This window comes from Homo sapiens, chromosome 4 (genome assembly GCF_000001405.40).
Source record: "Homo sapiens chromosome 4, GRCh38.p14 Primary Assembly".
NCBI classification, from domain to species: Eukaryota; Metazoa; Chordata; class Mammalia; order Primates; family Hominidae; genus Homo; species Homo sapiens.
This window is the reverse complement of record NC_000004.12, coordinates 44,853,363-44,865,086: the sequence shown is the minus strand read 5'-3', so window position 1 is coordinate 44,865,086 and position 11,724 is coordinate 44,853,363. Positions and strand designations below refer to the sequence as shown.

Here is an 11,724-nt window from a genome sequence, read left to right as displayed (position 1 = left end):
GGACTGGATAAAGAAAATGTGGTATATATACACCATGAAATACTATGCAACCACAAAAAAGAATAAAATCATGTCCTTTGCAGCAACACGGATGCAGCTGGAGCCATTATCCTAAGTGAACTCATACAGAAACAGAACATATACCACATGTTCTCACTTATAAGTGAGAGCTAAACATTGGGTACACATGGACATAAAGATGGACAGAATGGACAATGGTGCTACAAGAGGGAGGGGAGAGGGAAGGAGACAAGGGTGAAAAGCTGCCTGTTGGGTACTATACTCACTACCTGGGAGACAAGTTCAATTATACTCCAAACCTTACCATCACACAATACACCTTTGTAACAAACTGGTGTATGTACCCCCTGAAGCTAAAATAAAGGTTGAAAAGAAACCCCAAAACCCAACATACAATCACATTACCAGACCCACATAATGACAGAAATTGTGACTGATAACCAAGAAAACAATGGGTACAAACTCGGAGATTGGCGTAGCCAGCTACCAAGATGGTCCCCAATGGTGCATGCCTCCTGGTAGTTTACTCTTTTTTTTTTTCTTTTTCTTTTTTTTTTTTTTTTCCTTGAGATACAGTCTCACTCTGTTGCCCAGGCTGGAGTGTGGTGGCACGATCTCCACTCAGTGCAACCCCGCCTCCTGGGTTCAAGCAATTCTCCCTACCTCAGCCTCCTGAGTAGCTGGGATTACAGGCGCCCGCCACCACGCCCAGCTAATTTTTGTATTTTTTAATAGAGATGGGGTTTCATCATGTTGGCCAGGATGGTCTTGAACTCCTGACCTCAAGTGATCTGCGTTCCTCTGCCTCCGAAAGTGCTGGGATTACAGGCGTGAGCCACCGCACCTGGCGGTAATTTACTCTTATGTAGTCCCTTCCCACACTGACTATACCTGACTTTGTAACCAGTAGAATACAGACAAAATGAGAGCCTGTGACTTTCAAAGTTAAGTCATGAAATACTTTGCATTTCTGCCATACTTCCTTTCAGATCATTAGCTCAGGGGGAAGCCCCCTGCCGTGTCATGAAGATTTCCAGGCATTCCCAAGCAGGCCTCCTGCCAACAGCCAGCAAGGGACTAAAGATTCCTACTAACAGCTATTTATCACGTAAATGGATCCTGCAGTTCTAATCAAAGCTTTGGATCACTGCAGTACTGGTTGACATCTTGACCATAACCTCACAAAATACACCAAGCTAGAACCACTCAGTGAAGCAGCTCCTGAATTTCTGAACACCACCACTGTGTGAAATACTAAGATTATTATTATTTTAAAACATGAAGTTTGGGAGTAATTAATTATGTAACAATAAGTAACCAAAAGAGGTACTGGTACCTTGAAATGGAGTGCTGCCATGACAAAACTAAAAAATAGGGGAGTAACTTTGGAAATGGGAGAGTGCCCAGGAAGTGGGCAGAAGCTGGAAGGATTTTGAAGACAGCGTTAGTGAGGACCTGTGGAGATTTAATGAGATAGACAGTAGAAATGTAATGCCCTTTGCAGAGGCTGCCGACAGAGAGACTACAATCCCACTTTCTATAAACAATGCTACACACTTAGGAAAACCTGGATAAAGAACCTGCAGAACGCTATCCACCATCAAGGATCACCCCTAGCACCTCTGTATCTGAACAGAAATAGCAATGAACATTACTCTTCTATGCACATAAGACTGCTGGTCATCCCAGGAATTCCCTACTACAATGCCAGGTTCCCCCTGTCAGAACCTGGCAGCAGCATCCAATCTGAGAAAACATTGTTTTGCCTAAAACACTTGTTTTCAATGTAGCAGGGGGCAATTTTGCCCCTTAGGAGACATTTGTCACGCCTGGAGGCATTTCTGGTTTTCACAACTGGAAGTCACTGGCATTTAGTGGGTAGAGGGCAGAGATACTGCTGAACATTCTACAATGTGAAAAACAGCACCCCACAACAAGGAACTATCTGACCTAAAATGTCAATAGTGCCCCAAGGTTGAGGAATCCTGGTCTAAATAAAATACATTTATTTATTTAGAATTGCAGTTTACTCATTAGTCTTTTTATGTAGTACTTTTGAAACATATTACAGATATTTGCTGGCAGGGACCTAATAGGGGTATTTTACTCTCATTTGCTCAGAAGAAGAACAACTGCAGTTCTAAAATCCCCACTCTAAGGCTTATAAAGGGGCTTCCAAGTACTACTGGTTTTGAAAATAAATTTTACATACACACTTAACTCAGATTCGAAACTATTTTACATTGATTTCCATTTTCCCTAAGCTAAAATAATGACAAATCCTTTGAAATAATAAAAGCCTTTGATTCATTCTGGGGACTTAAGTACATTATGATTGAAAAAAAAAATCTTGAAAAATTTTTACTGAAATACAGCGCTTCATATTCATTCTAAAAAAATTATTTCTGTGGTATAAACTAATTTGCACTTAAAAGACACTGATATTGCCCAGTTTATCTTATGTTTACTGACAAATAATAACATTATTTTACTACTCAATAGACAGATGCTAAAGAAAGAAAAGTAAACATGGTCACTTTACTGCTGTCATCTAAAATTAGTTTATTTTTAATCATTTGTTAGAGATATTAAAAAGTTTATGTTTTCTAAGAGGAGGTAGAGTTAATATGAAACACTGCTATTTACACTACATGATCATTTTATTTGTGATCACTACACAAAAGGCATTTGATTTGGCCTTTGTTTATATAAAATATTATAAAGTTCTTTCTGGCAGCCACCTCGACATATATTAAGAGAAAAGATGCAAGTGTCGTAAGCTTTTGAGACACAATTATAATGAAGGCATCTTTATTTAGTGAATTTAAAATATAGTAAGATAAATTTAAGTCACTATCTTCTGAAGCAACATATAGCAGTCTCTTGTTTTGTTACCTTACAGTTTATAAAAGACTGGAATAATAAAGTAAATAAAAATATGGAATATGGAGGGATATTTTTGGTGAAAAAGTTGTAAAGACATGCTTTGCAGATGCATAGAAATTGAGTCACTTCCTTTAGTAAATTTATCTAATGCTGCAAGTTGTTGCAGAATCACAAATTTATTAGGGATGAGAGATCATCTTGTCTTACTTCCTCCTCTCACTAGAGAGGAAATGAATCTGATAGTGACTGTTTGACTCAAGTTGAATTATAGCTCTTGTTTCCCAATACTCATGAATAACTTCCCTTTGGTATAAAGCTTTTAAGAAAGTTAATTTAGAGACTAAGTTTATACAAAATTCTGCCAAATGTTTGGAGGAGATTTTTTTTTTTTTTTAACTTGCAACATTTTATAGGAGATAGCAAAGCAAAAAAGAACAGTTGGTTCCCTGGAAGACCCCCGCAGCTCCTCCTCAAGTAGCCTTAAAATCAGCTCTCTGAGCTGGGAGGTTGTGAGTGACAAGCCCTCCAGTTAAACCAAAGCTGACATGGAAAGAGACATAAGGGGATGCCCAGCAAGAATGAAATCCATATTCTTAAGCTCAGAGTGTTCCAATTAGGATAATTTCATTACTCCAAATCTCCTCCAATATGAAAAGCTTCAGGGAAACCAGGTCTTTCTTCTAGAGCAAAACCACGTCACCCAAGAGAGTCACATGTATTGCCAACCCCGCTTCGTAAGTTTCTTTGATTCTAAACCATATGTTATCTGTAGACTTGGCCCATGCCTATCAGTTGAACAGAAACACAAAGAAGGTTAAGTAAACGTAGTAATAACCTAATACCACACTATGAGATACAAAATGCAGTGGCGGGCGCCTGTAGTCCCAGCTACTCTGGAGGCTGAGGTAGGAGAATGGCGTGAACCCAGGAGGCAGAGCTGGCAGTGAGCCGAGATGGCGCCACTGCACTCCAGCCTGGGTGACAGAGCAAGACTCCATCTCAAAAAAAAAAAAAAAAAGAAAGAGATAAAAAATGCAGAATATACAGGTAGTTGCCTATCTAGCCACTTATATACAGAATATGGTTCCAGGGTACTCCCAAGAGCAACATACCTGTTTCAGTTCTACATTAGGGAGACAGTGTATTTTTTCCATTTTGTGTGACAATCACCCATAAATGGACTTGCTATAGTTTAAGAGAAAAATATAGAAATATGAGGTAGAAATGTGGTATGTAAAATACTGCAACAAAATAAGATAAACCCCTATCACTGCAAAACTTTCTTAGAAGCACTCAAATACAAGTTGTTATTTGATTAAAATACAGGACTAGCTACATAAGTCTTCCTGCCAATGCACTATAGTTTAGAGAGACAAGAGGATCTCAGAGGACTACAATAGGCAATTTTGGCAAGTGCACAGTGAAGTGGAGTAAGTGTCCTTAATTTACATGGACGAACTGTATATATAAAAATATGTATTTATATATATGTGTAATGTCTATGCTTGACAGTGTAACTAGATTTTGGGTTTTCCTCTTAAATCCTTGAGTATAGTATGGTATATGGTACATATAAATAGAAATCCTATTTAGAGACATTTGTCTCCCAAACTCATTCTCATTCTAATATTTTTAAGCAAGAAAAATTGGATCAACCAAAATTCTAGTTTATCATCAGCTTCTCATGTGTGCATTCCATGACTGATTTAACTAATGTGTGAATTCAGGGGAATAAATAGTAAGAGTTGCTGCAAATTATGTTAAGAAGTGATATTTCATTTGTGCAAAGAAGGGGATCATTTATAAAAAGAATTTTTCATTGCTTCTCCTTCAGAGCAAAAGAAAGCAAACTTTATTTAATTTCCTCAGATACTGGTGACCAGGACACAGCAAGGATGAAAAAGAGTTATGGGGAAAGGACTTATTTTTAAAGGGCAGTTTTGCTATTTACCATCTTGTGCCCAAATAAAATAGTATGGGGCAGCTCCAGATAGCTAGTGGTTGAACCCATTTACAGAGATAAGGCTAACGAGTCCTCCTTTTTCACTGGTGTTCTGTTGTCCATAAGAAAACTCTTGTGTTCAAAAATCAAAAGGAAAGCAACTTCTGATGAAAGCCTTCTTCCTGACTATCAAAACAATGAGCCAAAAAATTAAAATGCAATCTTCTAACAGCTTTTTTGAGTAACTCAAGCCATATTGACTGGGTTCCTTTGATTCATTCAGATGCAATGCCTGGATACAAATATTCCCTGCAGAGAAGCAATAAATAGTAGTTAAGGGCATAGGTTTTGTACTTTCAAAGACCCAGATTAAAATTCCAAGTCTGTCCCTGATTAGATGTCAAGTTATTTAACTTCACTAAATTCTAGAGTCCTTGGCTTGTTGATAAATGTACCTAGAGAAAATATCTGTGGCAGAATGAATTTGGGATACCACTTAAAACAGTGCCCAGCACGTCGTAAAGGCTCAATAAATGTCAGCTGTTACAATTAGCCCTTGCTTTCCACTCTCAGCTATGTTAGATAAAGCCCTTCCTTTTTACCTCATGAACAGGCAGTTGAAATAACCTCCTAGCTAGTATCCCTACTTTCTTTGTTTTTCTCCTGTCTCACCTTTTTTCCTTACATTTACAATCATGAGAGCATAATTTCAGAAAGAACAAAGAGAAAGTGAGAGGCAGAAACAGAGATAGAGAAGGAGCCAGCAGGAGAGAAAAAATAATGAAAGCATTATTAAGCACTCACTCTGTGACAGGAGCTTTTAAAACTCTCTATAGGTATTTACAAATTTTATCCTCACAATAGCGCAATGAGATATATACCAATTTTATCCTTCAGTTAAGAAAATGAAGACATAAGTGAAAGAAGTTACTTAACCAAGGTTATACAGTGGTATTATACAGTGGTACAGAGATGACATTCAAACTATGGAATAACAGCAGAGGCACAAACAATCACAACGGAGAGAGAACCATCCTGGTGTATATCAGCCAACTCGCAGCCCAGTGCAAAAAAACGGCAGAGTTGGATTCAAACCTGAGCACTCTGGATCTAGAGCCCTTGCTCTTAACCATTCTACTAGAAATAAGATCAGTGACAGAATATCATCCCATAGCTAACAGGACAGGTTAGTTTGTTTCTTGGGTGTAAAAGTCTCTCTAATCAAGTAGATATTTTGAATCATTACATTGTGAGGACACAGGATAGTAAATTAATTCTCAATCATTGGTGTAGAAAACTGTTCATCGCAATCACCAAAAACAGCAGCTCTTCTAAACACCTCTACAATTTTCAACCCACATATAAATCTGGTTTAAGAGCTTTTTAAATAATTTTTACAGAAATTCAGTAGGAAATGTCTCTAGTTGAAGATGAAAAATGCACCTTGTAATTTAATATTATTAACATCAACACATGAGACAACATATGCTGACAAGAAGATAGCTTTCTGGAACATAAAATTTCTGATTTTTGTTTTTATACTCTCTTCAAATAGTCAGTAGAAGTTGATATACCCAGACAATTTGATATTACAGACAATTTGTACAAATGTCTGTAATTTTGTGACACTCATAGAAAGAAACATTTTCAGAAGTTATGAAAGGGTCAAACATATTTAGAATTATGAAACTTTTATTATTTTGGGCATATGCTAGGGTTTTTTTTTTTTTAGTAATTAAGGCATTTAAAACAGGATATCTAATGTACATGCACACACACAGGCATTAATTGCATATACGGTGAAGTGTAACCAATGTTAAATAGAAATAACACATACCTTAAAATAAGGATAGATTTTCTTAAACTTTCAAGACTGGGTGAGAAGTTTAGAAAGTAAAATTAAGAACAAAAAGTTTTGGTGGAAAACCATGATGATTATGTTGAAAGCAATTCACAAGTCCCCAGATTGTACGGTAATTGCAATCTACCACACAATCCTTGAGGTCACCAGATCTCCATTGTGAGCTAACATTTATTTATCCTCTGATCAGACAACTGTAAAAACACCAAGCAAATAGGGAGTGGGATGGTGAGCCTGAAGAATCAGGAAAACATTGGGATGTCGAAACAGTCTGATATTCAGCTGTGCTATCATTAACAAATTGCTTACTCTTTGCTTTCCCTATGTTAATCCTCTAGCCAGAACTTCTGCCCAAATTCCAGGTTACAGTAGAATCAGATTGCTCATGTAGCTAAGATTGCCAGAACTAGTTGGTAAAATAATCCAGAGGTTTTTCTTAGGAGAAACTGATGTTGCCCTCAAATATTCAGCAGTATAATTAGCTTTAATTCTCAGTTAATTGTTTTGTATATGATTCAGATCTCAGATAAAATCTTAAGACAATCATCATCAATATAATTTGATAATGCATGCATAACCCTTAGAAGTATATAGTATGCTTTCACGTATACCATTCTATCTAAATACTAACCGTTGTGAAGTAGAGTTTTTTCTGGTGTATGGGTAAAGAGAAGGATGCGTATATAGCCTAAAAAATTTGCCAGAGATAATACCAGATCTAAAATTTCCAAAGTTTTCTAGCATAAATTTTAAGCGGTTTTACCAGTTTAGGTTGTCTTCTGTCAGAGTGCTCCCTCACATCTATTTCCATTGGGTTCCTCTCTTCCTACTAGCAATTCAATGTCTTTATGCTCTTCCTCAGCTACCAAGGATCTCTTTGGCCTATATGTTTGCAACCCTTGGGGTTCTGCCCTCTGGACTCTCTCTCCTCTACTCTTGCTGCATATAGTGTGGTTGTCTTGTGTCCCATCTCATGAGGTCACTCCTCTCTACTATATAAAAGAAGGTTGATATAAGAAAATATTTGTGTGTTTTAAGGGGATGTGGCTTTATTATCCATTCTAGAGTTCACATTAGTATTTAAAGAATTTTCTGTGAAATAAAAGACTTAAATTAATTTAACATTAAAGACTTTAAATTACGGTCAACTTTTTGGTTATAATATTGCCTTCTACTCATAGCTGTACTTTCAAATTATTAGGAATTCTGGGTTTTTTTCCATTTTTTTAGCAATGAAAATAGGTCATAGTAATCCTAAGATTTAAAGAGTATAAATCTTACATAATTAGTTTTTATAATGCTCAGTCTGTTCTTACATAACATGAGCCGTATTTATTCTAATGTACTTCTTATAAGCTTCTATTTGAATCTTTATCTACATCACAGTCATTTTCCCCCAAAGATTCTTACTACAGCCGGCACCAGCACAGAAACTGTGTGATAATCCAGATTGTTTTCTCAGAGATCTCCTAAGTACTATAAATTAATGTGCATCACGAGGTAAAAGAAGAAGACATAAGTTTAAAAGAAATTGAAAGGTATGCATACAAGAAGAAAGACTGAAAATCAAGAAATAATTTTTTACGATAAATAACAATTTTCTCATGGAAGAAAAAAATGGTTCTAAAGATTATTCTAAGTAAAAAGGTAGTTTAAAAAGGATCTGGCTGGCTAACACGGTGAAATCCCATCTCTACTAAAAATACAAAAAATTACCCGGGCGTGGTGGCGGGTGCCTGTAGTCCCAGCTACTCAGGAGACTGAGGCAGGAGAATGGTGTGAACCTGGGAGGCAGAGCTTGCAGTGAGCCAAGATCGTACCACTGCATTCCAGCCTGGGCGACAGAGCGAGACTCTGTCTCAGAAAAAAAAAAAAAAGATCTGAGACATATCTGGATCAAGTTTACACCTTTCTCAAATTTTGAAATTTGTGAAATCTTAGTTTTTAATTTGGAGAATACCTTAGCATACAAACTGTTCAACTCCCATTCTGTGTAACAGTCTGCAATATCTGCCACTTAGGATCATTCAGGGTCTACATAAAACCATGGTTCATTCTATTGAATTTGCCTCCCTAAGATACCTGCCCATTTTTCTTCATTCTGACATTTGAAGCTAAAAGAATAAATCTTATCCCTCATCCACATATTACCATATCAAGTGATTCAGTTATTATTTTTCTTTTACCAAGCAAGAGAGCTATTTTCTCTCCACCATTACATTTATTGGGGTTACCTCCCACTGTACATTTGGATACATGAGCTTTGGAATATTAAAAAAAAATCTTTCTTGGAGAGGATTTCATATTAAATCCTTTAAATTTTAAAGAAATCAACAAAGAGTAATTTTTAAGCTGTAGTTTAATGTTTAAAACAGTATAGAAATACTTCATTTTATGGATTGAGATTCAACAACCAAATCTATTCAGTGCTACAACTTTACAATTTACTATACTCTATAGCATTAAAAGATAAAAAGAAAGAGTGGGAAAATTCTAAGTAAACATTGGTTCACACATTTTAATACAGAAATACCTGGTGTAATATTAAGTGCAATGGGAAACTAGTCTTCAATACTGGCATTGAAGAAATGATAACTCAAAAAAAAGGGGAGGGGGAAACTTTTACTTTCCAATGCTAAAAATGAAGCAAGTTGATTTCCAACTTGACATCACCAAAGGAAACTTTACAACTACATGAGAATTGCAAACTCGAAGACTTTCTATGGCAATAGGTAAATAGGCAAGTCTTTTCTGGGCAGATTTTTGTTATTATAGAGGTAAATATTTTAGGGTCTCTCTTAGTTACGAAAATGCAAATATAGTCAAAGTAGGCAGCCAATGCCCTGAGGAGAGTACAGTATATAGCAGAACATTTTTCTCCTATACTTTTAACAAATGTCCATCTTGGAAAATCTCTTAGTGTCCAAAGATGGGGTTGAATAGGGTGACAAAATCCATTTTCCAAAAGGTCCTAGATATCTTCTTTTTAATAATCACCTTGACTACTTTTGAGGAGGATATTGGGGAATATGCCTTCCTTGCTTGCTGAACAACCTCACCATCTGCTTGCAGGCTATAATCTCAGCCTCAGTCTCTTTCAGCTCAAACTGGCCTGCCAATGCTTTTGTCAACACATTACTGACAATTTAAAAATGCACAAGGGGGTTTAAACACTTCAACATGAATCTACACAGCACAATGGTTCTACTATTATTCCACAAGATGATGAGACTTCCTAAAAACTACTACTCATTGGTTCTTATTTAGTGCTCTAGAGTTCTTTATGGAAGAGGTCTTTATAGTCACCAAGTAAATACTTGCAACAATAAAATATTATGTAAAAACATTTGGTAGTTGTTCTGTTCTTAAAAGGTTAATGTGTCTATTTACAAATTAAGAAAATGATAGCATAAGAAAATAAACAATAAATTGGTGAAATTCCATATTATTGTCTTAGATTTATCTTTGTTATTATTTTTAATTTATGGGTACATAATAGTTGTACATATTTATGGGGTACACGTGAAATTTTGATACAAGGATATAGTTTATAATGGTCAAATCAAGATAATTGGGACATCCATCACTTCAAACATTTATTATAGCTTTGTGTCAGAAAAATTTCAAATATACTCCTCTAGTTATTTTGAAATATGCAATAAATTATTGCTAACTATAGTCATCCTATTGTGCTACCAAATATTAGATCTTATTTCTGCTATCTAACTGTATTTTTGTAGCCATTAACCAACCCCTCTTTACCCTCCCCTCTTCACTACTCTTGTGAGACTCTGCTAATTATCATTCTACTCTCTTCAACTCCATGATACCAATTTTTAGCTTCCATGTAAGATAAAGTCCATTTATAAGAAACTCACAACTAATATGATACTTAACAGGAAAAATAATGAAAGCCTTTCCTCTAAGATCTGGAACAAGACAAGAATGCCCACTTTCACCATTTTATTTAACATAATACTAGAAGTTCTACCCATGGCAATTAGACAAGAACAAAAAATAAAAAGCATGCCAATTAGAAAGGAAGGAGTCAAATTGTCCTTGTTTGCAGACAATATGATCTTATATTTGGGAAAATCAAAGACTCCACCACAAAAACCGATACAACTGATAAATGATTTCAGTAATGTTACAAGATACAAAATCAACTGACAAAAATCAGTACCATTTTTATATTACAACAGCAAACTTTTTCTGAAAAAGTAACCAAGAAAGCAATCTCATTTACAATAGCCACAAAAAAATGTAAAATACTTAAAAATGAACTTAATCAAAGAAGTGAAAGATCTCCACAATGAAAACTATAAAACATTGACACAATAAATTAAAAAGGACAGAGGAAATGGAAAGATAATTCATATTCATGAATTGGAAGAATCAATATTGTTAAAATGTCCATACTACCTAATACAATCTATAGATTCAATGCAATTTTTTCAAAATACCAGTGACATTCTTCACAGAAACAGAAAAAAAAAGTCCTAAAATTTATGTGGAAGAACAAAAGACCCAGAATACCCAAAGCCATTCAGAGTAAAAAGCAAAACTGGAAGCATTGTATTACCAGACTTCAAATTGTACTACAAAGCTATAATAAACAAAACAGCATGGTTCTGGCATTAAAAAGAGAAACACAGACCTATTAAACAGGATAGAGAACACAAAAATAAATTCATGCATTTACAGCAGCTCATTTTCAACAAAGGCACCAAGAGCATACACTGGGGAAAAGACAGACTCTTCAATAAATGGTGCTAGGAAAACTGGATATTCATATGCAGAAGAATGAAACTGGACCCTCATCTTTTGCCATATACCAAAATAAAATTAAAATGAAATAAGAGCTAAATATAAGACCTGAAACTATAAAATGACTGAAAGAAAACATTGCAGAAATGCTTCAAGACACTGGTCTGGGCAAAGATTTATTGAGTAAGATGTCAAAGCCATAGGCAACTAAAGCAAAAATGAACAAATGATATCTGTATTGGTCCGT

General features: G+C 35.6%; 2 annotated features.

Annotated features, from left to right (window-relative positions):
- Nucleotides 204-1,059: an enhancer, noted in NCBI's record as "OCT4-NANOG-H3K27ac hESC enhancer chr4:44866045-44866900 (GRCh37/hg19 assembly coordinates)". NCBI's record gives its function as "activates a minimal SCP1, AML or CMV promoter by ChIP-STARR-seq in naive and primed H9 embryonic stem cells {active_cell/tissue: H9 hESC(naive and primed)}" and the evidence as "EXISTENCE:reporter gene assay evidence [ECO:0000049][PMID:30033119]".
- Nucleotides 1,060-1,917: an enhancer, noted in NCBI's record as "OCT4-NANOG-H3K27ac hESC enhancer chr4:44865187-44866044 (GRCh37/hg19 assembly coordinates)". NCBI's record gives its function as "activates a minimal SCP1, AML or CMV promoter by ChIP-STARR-seq in naive H9 embryonic stem cells {active_cell/tissue: H9 hESC(naive)}" and the evidence as "EXISTENCE:reporter gene assay evidence [ECO:0000049][PMID:30033119]".